This window comes from Homo sapiens, chromosome 3, assembly GCF_000001405.40.
Source record: "Homo sapiens chromosome 3, GRCh38.p14 Primary Assembly".
Classification (NCBI taxonomy): domain Eukaryota; kingdom Metazoa; phylum Chordata; class Mammalia; order Primates; family Hominidae; genus Homo; species Homo sapiens.
Window position 1 is genome coordinate 192,892,128 of NC_000003.12, and position 22,115 is coordinate 192,914,242.

Below are 22,115 nucleotides of genomic sequence, written 5' to 3' on the forward strand. Positions count from 1 at the left end.
TGTGGCACTGGCAGCTCCTTTGGCCCACACTTCAGGAATCGTGCTACATAACAACCCCCACTGCCCGTGAGGCAGGGTCCATCTTCAGCTCCCAACGTGCTTTCACACCCAGCAGGCTCACTGGTCCCCACATCCAGTGACTGGGAGTTCAGATAATTTTGTCCCCATTTTACAGATGAGGATTTAGACACTGGGTCTTTGAATTAATAACCCAAAGCTCACCCTAGGTTATGACCTTGCCTGCCTCTAGTAGCAAATACATGCTACAGAGAAAGGCTCAGAAAAAGTCTTAATTTAGGAGTTTGCTAAACTTCAGTCATTGCTTTTTTTATTTTTATTTGGGATAGAGTTTCGCTGTTGATGCCTAGGCTGGCATGATCTCAGCTCACTGCAACCTCTGCCTCCCAGGTTCAAGAGATTCTCCTGCCTCAGCCTCCTGAGTAGCTGGGATTACAGGCACCTGCCACCACACCTGGCTACTTTTTGTATTTTTTTAGTAGAGACGGGGTTTCACCATGTTGGCCAGGCCGGTCTCGAACTCCTGACCTCAGGTGATCTGCCTGCCTCGGCCTCCCAAAGTGCTGGGATTACAGACGTGAGCCACCGCGCCCGGCCATAGTCATTGCTTATTAATACAGCTGGTACGAGCAGACCCAGGCTAATATTATAGCAACTGAAAAGCAGAACGTAGCTCTATAATTACCCTAATGTTTCTAACAGAATTACACAAAGGGCATAGAATTATGTACAAAAGGGGGAAAATTGTATTAGACACCTCTGAACCTTTGAAATTGTATTACTTAGAACCTTGGCAAATGAGCAGTAAGTATTTAAAGAAGATTAAGATGAATTTTCCTTTTGGTGTCCTACTTAATTTGCACGACAATATTTGGCTTCCACAGTCAATGTAAACTGCTCAGGGCCGCCTTGGTGCCTTCCAAGACGCAGTTACATTCAGCCCAGCCAGCTGCCCAGAGCTTTTGCACCACCAAAAGCAGCAGGGGCCAAGTTACCAACCTCCCAACGCAGGTCAAAGCACCCCTGGAGTTTAATGAGTCACTCTTCTGAGAGCCACAGCCAGCGATGTGGGTTTCCCCATGTGTCAAGTGACATGACGTCTTTACTTCTTCGAATGAGAACCGAAACTGCGTTCCAAACATTTCCTTGAAATATAAATCACTGCCCTCAAACCGACCACCACTGCAAATCTCTACATCTAACCCATCATTTCAAAAGTATAGCTACCTAACACAGGTTTTGATATCAGTAAGAGGCAACTCTACTTACGGAGTCCTAAAATCACAGACCAGGAAGGGAAGCCTAATTTCCTCAATTTATAGTTGGGGAAAGTGAGGGCCAGAAAGAGGAGGTGATTAGCTGAAGATGACACAGTAAGTGACAGAAGAAGGCTGCCAACACCCCTTGACTGTATGGGAAAACATCGCATTTCCTCAAACATCTGGGAAACATCCTTAACAATTCTCAGCACTTAGCACTTAGCCTCAGGTGGGCTTCACTGCCCATTTCTCAGGGTCCAGTCCAGGCATTCCCCCGTGTCCAAGCACTTTTCTCCCTTTCGAAACCAGTGCATGATTCCCGTCCCCCACATCTTTAAAGAGCCACCTCTGGCTGGGGGGTGGCTCATGTCTGTAATCTCAGCACTTTGGGAGGCCCACGGTGGGAGGATCGCTTGAGGCCAGGAGTTTGAAAACAGTCTGGGCAACATAGAGAGACCCTATCTCTACTACATATTTAAAAATTAGCTGGGTATAGTGGTCTGTGCCTATAGTCCCAGCTACTGTGGAGGCTGAGGCAAAAGGATTGTTTGAGCCCAGGAGTTAGAGGCTGCCTGAGCTATGATTGTGCCACTGCACTCCAGCCTAGGGAACAGAGACAGACTCTGTCTCTAAAAAAGAAATAATTTAAAGAGCCACTCTTGTTTTCCCATTCTGTTCCCTGTTCAAGCTCTTCTCTCCCCAGCAAATTTTTGTTGTTTTTGTTTTGTGTTGTTTTGTTTTTGAGACAGAGTCTCGCTCTGTCACCCAGGCTGTAGTGCAGTGGCGCAATCTGGACTCAAAACGACCTCTGCCTCCTAGATACAAGCGATTCTCCTGCCTCAGCCTCAGGAGTAGCTGGGATTATAGGCGCCCACCACCATGCCTGGCTGATTTTTTTGTATTTTTAATAGAGACGAGGCTTCACCATGTTGGACAGGCTGGTTTCAAACTCCTAACCTCAAGTGATCCACTCGCCTCGGCCTCCCAAAGTGGTAGGAGTATGAGCCACCCCACCTGGCCTCCAATGGATTTTTGAGTAGAACGTGGTTTCCGCAGCTTTTTGCCCAATCCTGTACCTGGCTTCCCTTGAAGATAAGCACAGGGACTATTTTCACCTGAGAGGTCTTCACCTCTCATTTTAATAGGGAGGCAACAGGTAACTGGAGAAACAAACCTGAGAACATGTAAAAGCTGCCAGTCTTACAAACATTTTGCCCATGTCCATAACACAGTGTCATTTTTTTTTCTGAGAAAGCGATTGGAGTTTCCACTTTATTGCTCAAACTAGAGATGAATCTCCGTCCCTCCACCTTCCACCATTCTTTAAGAATCCTTTTGCTGCTTCCCACCCCATTCTTCCATCTCTCACCTGAGTAGCAGGTGCATGCATTCTAACTAGGGTGTGCCAATTTCACCAGGCAGCTCTCCCTCAAGGGAAACCTCCCTTTAGGCTTTTTCTCACCTCATCACAACACAAAAAGATAAGACTGATAAGAAAGACAAACATTGATAAAGAAATCTCCTCTTTGTCTGACATCTCAGAGCACATTCCCGAGCTCGTCTCATCTAAGAGGGTTCTTTGGGCATCAAACTCATCACCAACTCTTTTTTCACTAACCCTCTCCACATAACCAGCCAGTCCTACACAGAAGCACGAATCCGGTGGCCTGGGTTGGGGGGGAGGGGGCCAAGGGGGCCTGCTAGGGAATCACTCCATGGCTCCCGCTTCTCAAGGGGCCTGAAGGAACAGGAGTGTTTTCTTAATACCATTCCTTCTGGTCCAGTGCTCACCTCCTTCATTTCACCAGCAGGTGCCCAACCCATGTCACCACCTTCACCCTCAAGAAGATTGGTGGAATCTTAAATCTCACATGCAGACTTTCAAGAGGGAGTTCCATACTCCCACACCCAGACATAGTCCCCCATCATCTCCAAATCAGGTCTCTCTCAATTATATCTCTTCTGTTCTAAGTAAAAATTACTAATATAAGCATCCGTTTGAAACCTCAGCTTTATTTCAATCTGTTTCAATCACTTTAATCCAGCCAGGCAAGAGGTCCTCAATCAATGAAGCCAACGACTCACTGCAGAGAGGCAAAGACTCTCTTCTGCTTCTGAAGGCCCACTTGGGCTTGGTTTACAGAGTGGCTGGAATAAGCACACTGTTTGGCCAATTATATACCTTTTAAAACATCCAGAAAACTATTAAAGAAAAAGAAAATTTCATTCAGTTTCCTGGAAAATCTAGCTTTTGTTTATTTATAAGACATTTAGAAAATCACTAGAAACTTCATTCTACCTACTCAAGTTGTTGGGTTTTTGGGGTTTTTTTTTGTTTGTTTTTTTGAGACCAGCTCTCACTGTGTTGTCCCGGCTGGAGTGCAGTGGCACGATCCTGGCTCATTGCAACCTCTGCCTCCCAGCCTCAAGCAATCCTCCCACCTCAGCCTCTCAAGTAGCTGGGACTACAGATGTGTGCCACCATGCCTGGCCTAAGAAACTGTTGAGTCAAATTCTTTGCACAAAGAATCACACTAGACCTTTATTCAGACAACTTTATGCTACTTCTCTTTTTACAGGCAACATACTAATTCTACTTAAGGAGACGGAAAAAAAGGATTTTCCACAAAAACGTGGAAGAGAAGAGCAGTTTTATGTACTCCGCTGCTCGTTTAACATACAACACATGCATTAAGTTAATCCTTACAACAACCCTATGAAGTTGGCATTCATCCTCTACAAAACCTTTTTAAAAAAACATGGCTATAAAATTAAAAGATGAAACATTCTTTTATCCCTGTTACAATGACAAGGAAACTAACGTTCAGAAAGGATAGTTTGCCCAAGGTCACACAAGCTGTCCCACACAAGCTGTCCCACACAAGCTGTAACAGGTAGGTCTGCCTGACTCCAAAGTCCACGTTCTTTCTTCCCACTACACCACACAACCCAGCGTCCTTCGCCTTTTTTTGTTTCAGAGATGAGGTCTTTCTATGTTGTCCCCTGTTGTGCAGTCATAGTACACTGCAACTTCGACCTCTGGGCCACAAGTGATCCACCCACCTCAGCCTCAAAGAAGCTGGAACAACAGGTGCATGCCACCACACCCAACTTTCCTTCATATTTACTTCTTCTGTGGCACTGATGCCTACCCTCCCTTCCAGATCCACAAGGACAAAAGCACTGGTATTGTTCATCTCAGACAATGAAAACTTAACACAGAACCACAAATTTTGCCTACAAAGACATTGCCACTGGAAACTAAGTCTTCCCCTACTGGCCCAGTATCTTGTTAGCAGTTCATGGATATTAGCAACACCAAAATAATTACCATCATTGGCTAGTTACTGAGTATCTCAACAGGCAATAATCCAGCTAGAACTCTGATATTCAGAGAAAAAAGTTCCAGCGTTGGTGTGTCTTGGGTGTCACTGCAGGAGCTTGCTTATGGCTGTGGGACCCCCTAGGAGGAGCAAAGAGCATGGGATGAAAGGAGCAGAGCTGCCTCCAGACACAACCTGCGGAAGAAACGGCAGGCGAGAAAGTGAGGGAAAACCTATGGTTCCCTTCTCAGATTTCTAAAATGAACCATCAAGGTGAAACAAGACATAAATTCCTCTATGGAAGGAGGAGAAGAGAGACAAGGAAAGAGAAAACGGGGAAATTAATAGCAAACAAGTTCTGCAACTTGTAGCAAACAATTTTCCCTCGGTAGATCAAACAACCTCGTGGGATCCATGAGGTATTTATTAGAATGTGGTAACAGGTGACAAAGGTTGCATAGCTTGTTCAAAGTCGTCAAACTAGTCAGAGAGGCTAGTTTGATGCAACAAACTATGCAACAAACAGAACGGTTGCATAGCTTGTTCAAGGTCATCAAACCAATGAGCAACAGTGGAAGACAAAGACCCAGGTTTCCTGACTCCTGACCCCAGGGCTCCTGCTCACAAGCCTCTGTGGAGACTGACAGGAGGCCCCACTAACCAAGGGTTAGGTCATTAGGTTTTGAGTTCCCATTTTACCAGTAACTTGCCATAAGATAGAGATTAGTGAGGACTGTGACAAACTGAAGAAAATGTGGCACATCTAGAGGAGGCAGCTGCTATTCAGTCCGGGTGATTATGGCCATATAGGAAATCACGTCTAGTTCTTCTCATTTTTCAAGAAAATCTCCCAGCTTTTAAATATTTGCTCCAAAATTTTAAAAACAGCATGTTGGTCAGATCAAACACATATGGGGGAGGGGTGGAATGAGCCCACAGGCAACCAGTTCCAAATCTGACGTATGTAAAATAAAAAACCAAAGGCCGGGCATGGTGGCTCACACCTGTAAACCCAGCACTTTGAGAGGCCAAGGCAGGAGGATCACTTGAGCCCAGGAGTTCAAGACCAGCCTGGCTAACATGGTGAAACTCCATCTCTACTAAAAATACAAAAATTAGCTGAGAGGGCATGTAGTCCCAGCTACTGGGGAGGTGGAGGTGGGAGAAGCACTTGAGCCCAGGAGCTGTGATCATGCACTCCAGCCTGGGTGACAGAGCAAGACCCTGTCTCAATAAAAAAAAAAATTTTAAAAATAAAGGACCAATACTAATAGCTGGTTCCTGACTGAGAGACCACATGGGCATGGAGGTATTGGTGCTATAGTATTATCTCTCATGCAAATATACTACTACTTTTTAAGTATATGTAGATGCTATTAAGATAAAATTTAAAGTAATTTGCATAATTAAATTCACAGTAGCATTTTATAACTATTTATTTTTCAAAAAAAAAAACTGACAGCAAAAATACAACCAAAAACACATGAATCTCACGTATTTTTTTTTTTTTTGGAGATGGGATCTCACTATATTGCCCAGGCTGGTCTTAAACTCCTAAACTTAAGCATCCTCCTGCCTCAACCTCCCAAGCAGCTGGGACTACAGGTGTGCATCACTATCTCATACTTTTCTTAATTGAGAAAAAAGAAATTCTCATATTTAGAAAAGGTTGGGAATAACTGGACTAGACAATTTCAAAAGATGTCAGTCTTATAATTTCATGATTATATGCTACAAAGAGGTGGGAGACTAGGAAGGAAAGATAAGTTCCCAAAACACATCAAGGTATATACTTAAAGCTCAGAACACACACAGCCATCTTAGTGCCTCATCATGAATGGTGAACCACCCAATTGCCCAAGTTCAAGAACGAAGGTAAAATAGCCAACGATACCAGCAATATTTGTTGATCTGCTTTTCAGGCAATTAAAAAAAAGACAGAAACAGATACACAAAAGGCCATCATTGAGTTTCTATGGCAGTGTAAAATACCAGACATTAAGCACAAACAATTGCAAATTCATAACCGACTGGTGCAACTAAGAAACCTGTGACGCTAGAAGGCCAGGGAAAAATTTGACCTGTTCTAGGCTGGCCCAAAAGGCCTCCCCAAGAAGTGGAGATTTGACAGAGCTGAGATCTCACGGATCAGTAAGAGTTAAGTGGGATGAGAGAGATGGGGCTTTCCATCAAAGGCCTCTGTGGGCAGGAGGATGTGCTATTTTCAAAGAACTGAAAGGCCAACGTGGTTGAAATGAGAGTAAGAGCTTCTGAGAGTTCAGTGTGTGGATGAAGAGGCAACAGGAAAAAGAGCACTGAGGCCCTCTAAACATGTTCAGAATGTTTGTGTCTTTACCTTAACATATAATGCAAGGCCAGTACCTCACATGGTGCCTATCTCATAGCAGGCATACAAGAAATACATGGTAAAACGGAAGTGGTTATAGGAGAGGAAGCTAGAGATGTGGGCTGGAGCTGGGTTTCCAAGAACCTTGTAGAACAGGCTAAGGAGTTTGAACAGCCAGGCGCGGTGGCTCATGCCTATAATCCCAGCACTTTGGGAAGCTGAGGTGGGCGGATCACTTGAGGTCAGGAGTTCGAGACCAGCCTGACTAACATGGTGAAACCCCGTCTCTACTAAAAATACAATAATTAGCCAGGCATGGTGGCGGACGCCTGTAATCCCAGCTACTTGGGAGGCTGAGGCAGGAGAATCACTTGAACCCAGGAAGTGGAGGTTGCAGGGAACCGAGATCACGCCACTGCACTCCAGCCTGGGTGACAGAGCAAGACTCTCAAAAATAAATAAATAAATAAAAGAGAATGGGATGCCCATAATGGGTTCAGGCGTACTTAAAGGATGACTCAGCATGGAGAAGGGCTTGAAAGGATGCAAGACTGGAAGCAAAATCCCAGTGAGATTATTACAACAATCCATGAGACAGATGGTAGTGGCCTGGCCTATGGTGACGGAATGGAGAGAAGAAAACATAGTCCAAAAAAGGTAGCAGAATTGACAGGCCTCATTTCCTCTTCAGCTCTGGGGTAGGGAGAAGCCCAGGATGGCTGCCAAGTTAGTGTCTTGGGCACCTCGTGTGTGGTAGTGTGGCTGACTGAGAAGAAGCAGGTTTGGGGCACAGATAAATTCACTTTAAACACTGACCTTATGTCACCTTTGAGTCATCCAAGTAGAATTGTCAAAGAGGCAGTCAAGAGGTCTGAGCTGGAACACAGGCTTGGGAGACAGAGACTGGCACTTTAAGATAGATTACAGAGGCCAGGCACAGTGGCTCACGCCTGTAATCCCAGCACTTTGGGAGGCTGAGGCGGGCGGATCACGAGGTCAGGAGATCGAGACCATCCTGGCTAACACAGTGAAACCCCGTCTCTACTAAAAATACAAAAAATTAGCCAGGCGTCGTGGCGGGCGCCTGTAGTCCCAGCTACTCAGGAGGCTGAAGCAGGAGAATGGTGTGAACCCGGGAGGCGGAGCTTGCAGTGAGCCAAGATCACTGTCACTGCACTCCAGCCTGGGTGACAGAGCAAGACTCTGTCTCAAAAAAAAAAAAAAAAAAAAAAAATCACAGAAAGTGTTGAGGGGAGAAAAGAGAAAAGCAGTCACCAAGGGTTGGACAAATCCATCCTTTACACAGGGATGGAGAAAAAGGAGAAAATCAAAAAGAATACGTTGTCATGAAAGCCAAGGGAGGAAAGCATTTAAAAGGGACAAGAATGGTCAACAGGGTCAAGTTGGAGAAGAATGCCAAGTCACAGCACCATGTTCTGGTTTGGCTGGTTTTTTCGTTTAGGGTATTGATCATAATCTGTAAAGCTTCTTTTTTTTTTCTTTGCCCATCTCCTAAGACTGTATAAGTAACATGAAGATTTGCTCCCTATTGTATTCCTATGGCCCCATAGAAGACTTGTTGCACAGGCCGGGCGCGGTGGCTCACGCCTGTAATCCCAGCACTTTAGGAGGCCGAGGCGAGCAGAGCACGAGGTCAGGAGTTCGAGACAAGCCTGGCCAACATGGTGAAACCCTGTCTCTACTAAAAATACAAAAATTAGCCAGGTATGGCGGCGCCCGCCTGTAGTCCCACCTACTCGGGAGGCTGAGGCAGGAGAATCACTTGAACCCCGGAGGCAGAGGCTATGGTGAGCTGAGATCGCGCCACTGCACTCCAGCCTGGGTGACAGAGCGAGACTCTGTCTCAAAAAAAAAAAAGACTTGTTGCACAAAGGTCTCCAAGGCCTCTGTTGAAGAAACTGATGAAGGATGGATGTATGAATGCTTCAGGAAGGAAACAGTACTGAAAAATAACTACAGATGGAGAAGGCAGAGATAATACCCAGGTGAACGGCCCGAGATGGCAGAGAGGATGGAGCCAGGGTTGGTTGGTCTTGGATGACACAGAGACATTAGGTGGATCATTTCCCATCAATCCTCTTCCCCAAGAAACAGAGATTTTTAAATTGTTTCCTATGAGGTTCTACATTGTCCAGATAGTTCACTATTCCATAGAGAAATGAATGTTTCCATTCCTGTTGAGACTTTATTGCGGCCGGGAGCGGTGGCTCATGCCTTCAATCCCAGCACTTTGGGAGGCCGAGGCGGGCAGATCACGAGGTCAGGAGATCAAGACCATCCTGGCTAACAAGGTGAAACCCCGTCTCTACTAAAAATTCAAAAAAAAAAAAAAAAAAAAAGACTTTATTGCCAGAAAGCCTTGAGTAAGTAGGTTGGGAATGGGGCTTCTCTGAGAATTTCAATTCCATTCCTCTGCATCATGAGCACCAGGATCTCAAGCAGTTATTTCACCCCAACAACAATTGTATCTCATCCAATGAATATGCTTCAATGCTTTAAAACAAGTCAAGGTACAAACATATGCCCTCGGAAAGCAGGAAAGCTGGAAGGGTTATTCATATTAACAAATCATTAGTCACTTTTTAGTCACTATAAGGGTCACTCACAGCACTAAAGAGGCCAATCCCTTAGTTCACATAAAACCCAACTCAATTTATAAATTGTGACCTCAAAGTCAACTTCCTAAAAATACATTTGGCATCTGCCTTTCCCTGAAAAATAGATCTGCTCCCCCATTATCCCCACAATGATAGACTACATTAACTATGTCCTAATTAAATGTTCTAAATCTGAAATTAAACCCATTGGGGGAGTGTGGGGGGAAAGCCTGCATCTTCGTAAGGCTGCCCTAATTTACTTAGTGTCAAGGGCCCAATTGGCCTTTATACCTCTTTAAATCAATCAATTAGCTGGGACGCACCTTCTTACTTTCAAAAGGAGGCTGTAGATAGGATGAGATTTCATCCAGGACTTTTCAATAAACAAAATCACAAGCATCAAAAGAATGTTTGTCCTGGGAGCTGCCAAGGAAGGCCAACTGATAGAGTGAAAAGGGCTCTGGACCAGGAATCAGAACCGTAAATTAGCAACCGGCTTTCAGGAGATCAAAACCATTATCTTTTCCACTCTGCCCACTACCCCCTCACTTCTGTTCTTTTGCTCAGTGTGTGGCACCACCCCACGTTTGTATACCAGCAACCACATAGAGCCCGGCGTAGTCAGTTTTGTGAAGGTGCAAAGAGGGAAGGAGCCAGACTGCCGATGTCTGAATCCAGCCTCTATCACTAGCTTGAGCAAGGTGATTTCCTGGCTTTAGGTTTCTTATCTATAAAGTGCGGACAGGTAACAGTACTCTCCTTACAGGACTGTTGTGAGGATTAAATGGATTAATAATTCTAAGTACTTGGAACATCGCCTAGCCAACAGTGAGGAAGAGTTTCTCAATTTCATCATTCTCATCACTACCATCACTGTTTGACCTTGAGCAAGTCACTGTTCACTAGGGGTTAAGTTTCTCCATCAGTAAAATGATGGGGTGGATGAGCTGATCTCAGAAAGATTCCCACTAGCTTAACTCCTCTCTAATTCTTTGAATCCTATTACAACACCCTAAATCCTCCTAAGCTCTAAGACCAGCCACAGGGAGTGAACGTTATGCTGGTTCTTTCAGATCCTGAGGAGGTGTTTCAGCCCATGCAGCGGCAACTCCTCCCAGCCACAGGCCGGTCCTATAGTCCAGAGTCCAGCCCGCCAGCCTTGATTACAGATATTAGTTGTTCAGAGATCAAAATATTCATCATGCTATTCAAAGCTGTGGAAACAGCACAGGCATAAGAAAAGGTCACACTTTTTAGAGGAAAGAAACCAGAGAGAAAGAGATGAAGAACAAATCAAAAGACCAAAGCAAACACGACAGACCAAAAATACACCTTGCCTATGAGGCTATTTATTTAGCATCCTTCCTCTAATAGCAATTAAGAGAACTTCAAACTACAAGGTGGCTTTGTAACAGGGGAAATTTTCCCTACCTTGAAGCACAGCCCTCTTGGAGTGACTTCCCCTGTCTTCAAAGTCAGCAGAATCCTCCCTGGAGCACAAATGCTATGAAGCCAACTGTCTCAGGTACAAGTATCTTTCTTAAAGCATTAATTACCCAACATTTACATAACCTCCATTCCGCCCAAAAGTAAAGGCAGCATTCAGGATGATCAAGTCCCCTTTTCTTTTTGGCCCTCAGTTTCCATGTCTATAAAACGGAGGAGGGAGGAAGTCAAGCCACCTAATTTTCGAGTTTCCTGGCAGCATTAAAATTATAAGAATCTGTCCATGATTTGTACTTTGCATGGTAAGAGGTTTTATTTTGCTTTTTTAAATGAAGGCTTGAAAAAAGTTCATAGTTATTTGCCAATTTCTGCCTAAAGCTAGACTTCTTGGGTTAAATCCTCACTTTATTAGTAGCTCTGTGACTTTGGGCAAATTACTTAACCTCTCTGTGTTTCAGATTTCTCATCAGTAAAATAAGGATAATAGTACTAATAGAGTTTGGATATTTGCTCTCCCAACAACCGGTATCTCATGTTGAAATGTAATCCCCAGAGTTAGAGGCGGGCCTGGTGGGAGGTGTCTGGATCATGGGGCAGATCCCCCATGAATGGCTTGGGCCATCCCCCTGGTGACAAGCAAGCTCTCACTCTGAGCTGTTGAGAGATCTGGTCATTTAAAAGTATGGGGGCACCTTTTCCCCCACTTTTGCTTGCTCCTGCATTCGCCATGTGAAGTGCCTGCTGCCATTTTACTTCCATCATGACTGGAAACTCTCTGAGGCTTCACCAGAGGCTGAGCAGATGCCAGCACTATGCTTCCTATACCACCTGCAGAACTGTGAGCCAATTAAACCTCGGTTTAAATTACCAGTCTCAGGGATGTCTTTACAGCAATGCAAAAACAGCCTATTACAAGTACCTTCCTCATAGTGTTGGTGTTAGGACTGATTTAGCTAACATACATAAAGTAATTAAAACCACACCTGGAACACGGTTCGCAATATTTTAGTGTGGTTATTATTATTTTCAAACGTTTTCCCATTCAAAGAGAAAATGTATTCAGAAGACAGTATGCAAGGACAAACACACAGCAGGACACCGGGTTCTAGTCACGATTCTGCCCCAAACTAGCTGTATGCTGTGGATGAACTGCCACCCTTCTCTGGGTCTCAGTTTTCAGAGCAGGCTGCAAAAGAACTTTCCTGAAAGTATTCAGATCAGAGGCGATAAGTTGATAGGCAGTGTTCTGTTTGACCTACAGTTTTAAACCCCATGGTGTTTCTTTAAAATTTGATTTATTCTCAATACTTAAAATCTGGAGATTTTTCATAAAAATCCACAACATCTAAAGTTCTATCAGCCCAGACCCTCGGCCCCGGGCCCTTGGCTGCGGTTCTTAAAGTGCGGTCCCTCAACCAGCAGCAGCTGCATCACCTGGAAACTCATCAGAAATGCAAATTCTCAGGCTCCATTCCAGAGTTACAGAGTCAGAAACTGTGGAAGTGGGGCCTGGCCATCTGTGTTTCAACAAGCAGGACACTGATACACACTGAAGTTCCAGAACCACGGCAGTGGAAGAACAACGGGCAGGTGTTGAAGGGCAGTGGCCCCATCAGAAAACAGGGATGAGAGGTGATCTCCATTTACCAATGTACCCTGCCTTCCTGGCATCCCTGACTCATACTGAGGAGTCGGCATTTACTGAGCCACCCACCACACTCATCTTCCTTACCGTCCAGTCCCTGGGAGGCCTTGGGCTCCGCAGCTCTGACCTAGGTGGACCATCTTTCTCACAACGGGGTAATGAGCCCGCAGGCACCATATGCCCGTAGGATTGTGTTGTTCCAAATCAAAACTGTGTGAAAAGCAGGCTGTGCACACCAAGGGCACAGTTGAAAGAACAAACTGTTGAGTTGCCTTTATTAATCACAACACAATCCGCGCAAGCAGCTGCTATGAAGAACAGCTGCAGCTGCTAAAAGGGTGATCTTGAAGCAGCCTAAAACAGTGCTTACAGCTGAATGCCCATCAGGCACAGGCAGACTTACAGTCTGCCTCACTCAGTGCCTTTCTCCAGGCCAGAAATCATCCCCTTTCCATTCCTTGTGACAGGGTGGGATGGGGTAGAAAAGCTGTTGTTTTGTTTTTAAATTATTGCCAGCTTGGGCAACATGGCGAGATCCTGTCTCTGCAAAATATTCAAAAATTAGCCAGGCGTGGCTGGGCATGGTGGCTCACGCCTGTAATCCCAGCAATTTAGGAGGCCGAGGTGGGCGGATCACGAGGTCAGGAGTTCGAGACCAGCCTGACCAACATGGTGAAACCCCATCTATACTAAAAATACAATAATTAGCCAGGGGTGGTGTCAGGCGCCTGTAATCACAGCTACTCGGGAGGCTGAGGCAGGAGAATCGCTTGAACCCGGGAGGCAGAGGTTCAAGTGAGCCGAGATCAAGACATTGCACTCCAGCCTGAGTGACAGAGCACGCCCTGTCTCAAAAAAAAAAAAAAAAAAAGAAAAAGAAAAGAAAAGAAAAGAAAAATTAGCCAGGCATGGAGGTGTGTGTGCCTGTAGTGCCCACTACTCAGGAGTCTGAGGTGGGAAAATTGCTTCAGCCCGGGAGGTTGAGGCTGCAGTGAGCCGAGATCGCACCACTGCACCCCAGCCTGGGTGACAGAGCACGCCCTGTCTCAAAAAGAAGAAAAAGAAAAGGAAAGGAAAAGAAAAGTATTGTAATATGAAGAATGAGGTGAGTTTCAAAGGATTTGAGTTTGATCCCACCTCAACCATTTAGTGACCTTGAATGAGTTACTTAACTTCTCTTGATTATGGTTTCTTCCTGTGTTAAAACAGATACAATAATAATACTTACTTCCTAGGGTTGCTGAGGAATAAATCAAATCAGATTATACATATGAAAGCATTTTGTAAATTGTGGAGGACTAGATAAAAATAGAGGCTTATCAGCATCATCCCATGAAAGCTGCAGTTTGAACCATAAATCATAAAATGTAGAAGTCACTGTTTCTGGCCTAGGACTATCAGGGGTAAAATCTGAGAATCACATGGCGACAGAGGGCCTTTTGAGGACTTGTAATCCAACTCTTCTACATTCCTCCTACTCCACCCCCGCCATCCCTGCATGCTATTAACAGGAGTCTAGCAAAAGTGTGGTCCCACCTGGAAAACCTTTACCCACAAAAAGCAGCTCACTAAATGCCAAGGCAGGCAGCCCCACCCCATCATAAGCCTTATCTGAACATAGACCATACCTCCTTATGGAGACCAAATTAAACTTGCTAAAATTTCAGCCACCTTGAAAGCTCCTTTCAAGTTTACCCCTCACCTCAGGGCCTTTACACCTGCTGTCTGTCTACCTGGAATACACTTCCACCCAGTCTTCAGATGGCTGCTGCTGCTGCTGCTTCCATTTCAAACGTCTCTGCTTCAGAGAAGGCTTCTCAATCATTCTTCACTCTATCCTACCCAGCTGCCCACCATCATCATATTCTTTGCTTCTTGTTCTTTTAGAGCACACACCCCTGTTTACTTGCATGCTTAATTTTGTTAAATCCTCCAGAGAACAGAAGATCTATGGAGGTAGTGGTCTTGGTTCTTATTCACTACTCTGTGCACTTACATAGTAATTGCACCAGTAATTACACTAGCACATGGCAGGCATGCCAACATATGTTGAATGAAGTTATGAATGAATGAATGCTTAACACCATTCTACACACACTGTAGATATTCAAATACTAGTTGGAAGAGACGAAAGCCTAAACAAGACTTATACCAACTCCCACTACTGACTTAACTCACAAGTCTTCTTGCGTTAAGGAAAAAATATAAAATATAAACAAATTGAACAGTTCCCCATGTCAGCTTTATTCATAGCAGCACTATCCCTAGTTATCTCTTTATCTTCTGTAGAGTGAATTCATGAAAAGGCACTTAAGTGGATGAAAAACAGATAGCTGTTTCCTGGAAACAGGGCCTCACAGAAGGGCATAATTATGAACAGTTCTTAAAAGAGATCACTCAGCTGGCAAGTACTTACCCAGGTCTATTGTAAACACTGTCACAAGCCCTAAGGATGAGTTGGGCAAGGCCTAAAAATCAGACCTAGGGAATGAATGTCTATAGGGCTTGTATTTACTCATTCCACTCTCAGTCAGATTCACCCCCTATATACCCTTGGCTCAGGTGAAGAGCAGAGAAGTCCAAAGGGGAATGAAACCTCGCATCCCTCCCTTGTCTGCGACTATAGAATCAACCCCCTCAACCCAAGAAAGATGGCTAAGAGTAGAAAAGTCTACAAGCTCTTTGCAGGTGATATACTGACTGCGGCAGAAGACACCCAATAGCTGGGTGGAGTCTTGATCTCCAACCGATTCTGTGACCTACGAATCAGTCACATCACCTCCCAGAGTCTCAGTACTCCCATCTAGAAATGGGGATTAATACTTCCTATACAACCTTTCTCAAAGGCCTGACCTAAGGATAATACCATACCAAATGTGAATATTTATTGTCATCTATAAAGCATTGTGCAAAGATAAATTAGTATTGATCGCAAATAACAGTAGTTTCTAATAATAAAGAATTCCTACGACTTGCGTTCCAGATTAACCATCCAAGTGGAGGCACTTGGAGGATGACTGATAAGCACACTAAACGCCATAATGAGAAAGATAACGTGTGCCCACTGTGCATTCTGAAAAGCCCTGAGTATGGGCATGCCAGAGGTCCGGAAGTACCCTCACATGCCTGTGAAGAAACACCGGGGTCCACAAGGAAGGGAACATCCCTATGAGTCATGAGTTGCAGTTTGCTGTTCCCAGTCAACAAGCTACAGCAATCACTATGGACATTTCTTATATTGCCCTAGGATAGGTCTTAAGGAATGTAGAAAAACTTGCCCTACATCCCTCTGCCACATAAGGAGATAAGATCAAAATTTTCTGGACTCCAGAAAATGATAAAGTATAACTCAATGGATTTTTAAAAATCATAAAGAGACAAGGTTAGAAAGTGCTAATTTCTCAGAGACTGCAATAAAAAGCTTCACTGGGAAGAGCTCTTTTAAAGAGTGACTCAAGTCACATCACACTTAGTGAGCACCTACTATGTGCATGACCCCCTGGGTGCTGCAAAGATAAATAAGCCAGGTATTCTTTAAAGCATGGGAAAGAACAGGCTAAGGGCCACAAAAGGGACCAGGTATTAGGAGGAAACACAGGAAAGGTAAATTTTCTTCTTTTTTTTTTTTTTTTTGAGACAGAGTCTCCCTCTGTCGCCCAGGCTGGAGTACAGTGACGCGATCTAGGCTCACTGCAAGCTCCGCCTCCTGGGTTCACGCCATTCTCCTGCCTCAGCCTCCCAAGTAGCTGAGACTACAGCAGCTGGGATGACAGACGCCCACCACCACGCCCAGCTAATGTTTCGTATTTTTTTTTTAGTAGAGACGAGGTTTCACCGTGTTGGCCAGGATGGTCTCGATCTCCTGACCTCGTGATCCGCCCTCCTCGGCCTCCCAAAGTGCTGGGATTACAGGCATGAGCCACCACGCCGGGCCAAATTTTCTTCTTCTCAAAGACATATAGGAAGGCTTCATGAGTCAAGTGGCATTTGAGCTGGGAGAAAAAAATAAAGCGGACATAAGGTGTCAGAAGGTCATCTGTAGAACCTGGGACATTTAATTGTTTCTGTGACATGGATCCTCTCGACAGACTGTAGAAGCCTATAGATCCCTGCAGAGAATAGCATATTTAAGTGAATATGATAACATCACACAGGATTTCCAAGAAAATCAGTATTAAAATACAAAATGCGGCCGGGCACGGTGGCTCACGCCTGTAATCCCAGCACTTTGGGAGGCCAAGGCAGGCAGATCACGAGGTCGGGAGATCGAGACCATCCTGGCCAACACAGTGAAACCCAGTCTCTACTAAAAATACAAAAAAATTAGCCAAGCATGGTGGCGGGCGCCTGTAGTCCCAGCTACTCGGGAGGCTGAGGCAGGAGAATGGTGTGAACCCGGGAGGCGGAGCTTGCAGTGAGCCGAGATCGCACCACTGCACTCCAGCCTGGGTGACAGAGCGAGACTCTGTCTCAAAAAAAAAAAATAAAAAATAAAAAAATAATAATAAATGCCTTTTTAAAGTAAATTTGTGATAGAGTACCCTATGTGATTATTAGTGCCTTAAATAATAAAATCTAGCAGCAAGTCTAATATCCACCATAATTTCAAAGCAGCAGTAAACATTTTTTGAGATATCTGCAACAACTGTAATGTGAAATAAAAATGCCTGGGATTTCTATTGGCAACAAAAACATACGAACCACTAATAACACTATGGTTTCCCATCTATATTTATAATGAAAGAAAATGCTATATTTAAGTTAGAGGTTAATACAAATAAAGATGTCCTTTTTTCCCCACTCAAGTTCACAGGTTCCATGCTGTTTCCATGGACCCAGGTTAGGGAACTCTGATGAAGAGCCTCGGCCAGACACGGTGGCTCACGCCTGTAATCCCAGCACTTTGGAAGGCCGAGGTGGGTGCATCACTCGAGGTCAGGAGTTCAAGACCAGCCTGGCCAACATGGCGAAACCCCATCTCTACTAAAAATACAAAAAATTAGCTAGGCATGGTGGCACGCACCTGTAATCCCAGCTACTCCAGAGGCTGAGGCAGGAGAATCACTGGAACCCGGGAAGCGGAGGTTGCAGTGAGCCAAGATTGAGATCGGCCACTGCTCTCCAGCCTGAGTGACAGAGCAAGACTCTGTCTCAAAAAAAAAAAAAAAAAAAAAAAAAAAGAAAGAGAGAGAGAGAGAGAAAAGAGCCTAAGAGCCTAAGCAAAGAAAGAAAGTGAGAAATTGGGGTGTATGTTACATGACAATGTAGAACATGCAGAGACAGGAGGCGGCATGGAAAGGTAGGTAAAATCCTCAGAAGATGGCAAATAAGGTAGGTAAAATCCTCGGAGGTCACCAATGTGAGAATTCATTACTCCCAATTATTAAATAATAGAATAGAGGTGGGGCGTGGTAGCTCATGCCTGTAATCCCAACACTTTGGGAGGCCAAGGTGGGAGAATCACTTGAGCCCAAGAGTTCAAGACCAGCCTGGGCAACAAGACCACCATCTCTACAAAAAAAAAAAAAAAAAAAAAATTTAAAAATTAACTAGGCATGGCTGTGCTCTCCTGTGGTCCCAGGTACTTGGGATGCTGAGGTAGGAGGATCGCTTGAGCCCAAGAGGTCAAGGCTACAGTGAGCCGTGATGGCATCATTGCACTCCAGCCTGGGCAACAGAGTGAGACCTGTCATTCATACATATATACATAAATAACAGAATGTGCTCTAAGTTCTAGAAATGCATCTTCTTTGGAATAAAAAGAGATGAATGAAAGAAGCTAGGAAAACATCATTCTACAAGTTTCAACTTATAGCTCCTCTTTAAAATGTAGAGGACAGCATATTGATAAATTTACTCCTAATAAAAGAGCATGGATCCCATACCATCCCTGTTATGTAAATGTACACATATGTCTGGGTATAAGCATATGTATAACACAGATGTTTAGAAGAAATGTGCATCAAAATATTAATGGTGATTCAAGTTTAGGAGTGATTTTACTTTTTCCTTTGCATTTTCTATCATTGGAAAACGGGCAGAATTAGGCCCAACATAGGTTAGGAGACTTAGGGTAAAACACATACCACATAGTACAAAACAGAGCTGGTACAAGAACTCAGAAATTCCCTTTTCTCTTACTATATAAAAACTTTCAGATTCAGAATTGAATGCACCTGAACACATGAAGTACATATAATGATTAAGCCCAACTTATATATTTAGAAACTGAGGCTTAAAGTCTGAGTGACTTGCCCAACGTCACACAGCAAATGTTAATAACTGGAGATTCAGAGGTAAAATCTGGGTCTCTTGGTCCTGAGTGCAGAATATTGTCCTTGTTAAAAGCCAGGGTTTTGTATTCATCCTGACCCAGGTTAAGTCCCACCTATGCCACTCACTTGCTGGTAAACTTGGATGAATTCCTATATTTTTCTAATTCTAGGGTTCACCACAGTTTTTTTTTTTTAACCTCAAAGTGTAATGGTGATGATTAAATGATACAGTAAAGTCCTATTAAAACCTGTGACATAGTAAACACCCTTGTCTCACTCACTATGCCTTTTTGTCTCTGTCCCAGGTGGAAGAACTCCACTATTACTTTCCAGGAGCAGACAGACATTATCTGCTCATTAGGCTCAGCAGCTTGGTTCTAGTCTCAAAAGTCAACTGGGATCATGCTCACTGTGCCTAGAACAGAGAATGCAGAACATCAAGCCTAACACAGGACAGGATGTTGACATGCTGAGCAGCTTGTTGGGGGATCTCTAGGGAATTCGGATTCAATAGGTCTGAATGGGACCAGAGATTTTGAATTGTTAGAATCTAATATTTCTGTGAATTAAAAAGGGGCTCAGCCTAACTGTGAGCAATGTATTATCCAATGAGTGGCATGACAAGGAATGACAGGAAGACCCAGGACTGTCGACAGTTCTAGGCCTCTTCTCTCAAGGACGAAGGGCAGCCACTGCCCAGAACCATGGAGGGGGAATTGAAACCAATCCAAACTAGCACAAAAATGAATGTTTGGAGAGATCCCCTGCCCTGGATACATAATGTTCTCAGAGATAGAACAAACTTCCGAGATGATCCTGTGCACTCTACAGATGCAGCACATAGTGAATACAACTCTCGGGAACTTTCCAAGCACATGGAGGCCCATAAAACACCAACGCACCATAAATTTCCATGGTAAATCCTGCTGGGGGAATTCATTAACAGAAAAGTAGCAATCAAACACTGGAAAGGTAGGGCTTCAAAATTACCCACTCTGGAGATGTAGAAAGTGCCTAAAAATATGGTAGGTCCAGGAGCACCACACCAAGCATTTACATCTTTGAAATGGCCACATGGCACTTATTGGCCTGAAAGGAGAAACAGCCAGCAAAATATCCTGCTAGAGTTGGTGGGCAAAGGAAACAGGGGAGGGGTCCCTGAAGGCCCTTATGAATTTCTCAAAGTTTTTGTTCACCATTTTATCTTCAGAACCCTGCACGCTGATTGGCAAACACTATTACATTCATTAAGTATTTGTCAAATGCGTGAAAAAAACAGAGGGAGAGAAAGAGGGACAGAGACAGGAAGACAAAAAGAAATTATCTCAGGCGGGGCATGGTGGCTTACGCCTGTAATCCCAGCACTTTGGGAGGCCGAGGTGGGTGGATCACCTGAGGTCAGGAGTTCTAGACCAGCCTTGGCCAACAACATGGTGAAACCCCATCTCTACTAAAAATACAAAAATTGGCCAGGTGTGGTAGCGGGCGCCTGTAATCCCAGCTACTCGGGAGGCTGAGGCAGGAGAATCACTTGAACCCAGGAGGCAGAGGTTGCAGTGAGCCAAGATCATGCCACTGCACTCCAGCCTGGGCAACAAGGGCAAAACTGTATCTCAAAAAAAAAAGAAAAAAGAAAAAAAGAAATTATCTTTGCTCCTACAGACTAGGCAGGCTACTGAGTATAGTATGTCTCACCCAAAAGTGATGGAAACTGATTGCTACTACAGTAAAAGGAACATGAGCTTCTGAGTCAGGAATAACTGGATTCAGTCTCCAACTCTGAATGATCTTGGCCTAAGTTCTTGACTTCTTTCTTTGAGCCTCACCATTTCATCTTTAAAAAGGGTAACAACACCTATTTCACTTCCAAAATAGGCATGATACTTATGCTTACAAAGTTGTGGAAAAAAGATTACATGAGCTAATGGACTTAGGCAAAGTAGCTAGCACAATGGTCAGCACATGGTATGAGCCAAAATCCTCCTGGGCTACCCTAATTGTACTGCATAGTTCTTTCAGATGTCAAGCTGCAGAAATAATTCCAATTTAAGTTCACTGGATCTTCTAAGAAAGTATATTTTTATCCCAGCACTCTGGGAGGTCAAAGCAGGAGGATTGCTTGAACTCAGGGGTGTGAGACCAGCCTGGGCAACATGGCGAAACCCTGTCTCTACCAAAAATACAAAAAACTAGCCAGGCGTGGTGTTACACGCCTGCACTCCTAGCTACTTGGGAGGCTGGGGTGGGAGGATCACTTGGAGCCCAGGAAGTAGAGGTTGCAGTGAGCTGAGACTGTACCACTGCACTCTAGCCTAGGTGACAGAGCGAGACCCTGTCTCAAATAAATAAATAAACAAACATTTATTTAAATAATAAACTCACGTATATATTCTTTTTTAGTTAGCAAAGTAATTTCACATTCTGACATAACAGTTCTGAAAAACAATGCTTACTGTTATCCATGTTTAATAAATGAAAAAACTGGCCAGGCATGGTGGCTCATGCCTGTAATACCAGCACTTTGGGAGGCCAAGCCAGAAGGATCACTTGAGGCCAGGATTTTGAGACCAGCCTGGGCAACATAGTGAGACTCCATCTACACAAAAATTTTAAAAAATAAAAAATTAGCTGGGCACGGTGGTACACATCTCTAGTCCTAGCCACTAGGGAGGCTGAGACAGGAAGATAGCTTACGCCTAGGACTTTGAGGCTGCGGTGAGCCATGATCATACTATTGCACTCCAGGCTGGGCAACGGAGCAAGATCCTGTCTCAAAAAAAGAGAGAGAAAATACTAAGACCACAAAGCCAACAAGAGGCAGACTGGGAATGAAACTATAGATTTTAACATTTTATTATAATTACTATGATTTTCTCAATCAAAAATTCAAATAGGAGATCTTATTATAGAATACTTGAACTCAGACTGTTCCAGAAATCTACTTATATTACGCTAAAACTTATAGCTAAAATCGAAACAAAATCCTGAAAGAAGTGATTTTTTAAAACAAAGCCTTTCCTCTGGATTTTATGCATCTATTCTTAATAGTCTCAAGTAGGAGAAGAGGAACATGTTTTAGAGTAAGGCTGACCTGAGTTTCAGTAGCATCTCTACCATCTATTAGCTTTGTGACCCTGGATATCCACTTTCTTCACCCCACTAAATTTCAATATCTTCATCTATG

The 22,115-nt window shown here is 44.1% G+C and overlaps 1 protein-coding gene across 1 annotated transcript in view, besides 1 other annotated feature; it reads right to left on the bottom strand.

Annotated features, from left to right (window-relative positions):
* The window catches only part of MB21D2 (Mab-21 domain containing 2), a 121,042-nt gene that overhangs the window by 95,313 nt on the left and 3,614 nt on the right, over positions 1-22,115 (bottom strand). The gene's annotated exons all lie outside the window — the stretch shown is intronic.
* Positions 969-1,278: an enhancer, noted in NCBI's record as "active region_20999". NCBI's record gives its function as "activates an Ori minimal core promoter by ATAC-STARR-seq in GM12878 lymphoblastoid cells {active_cell/tissue: GM12878}" and the evidence as "EXISTENCE:reporter gene assay evidence [ECO:0000049][PMID:35858748]".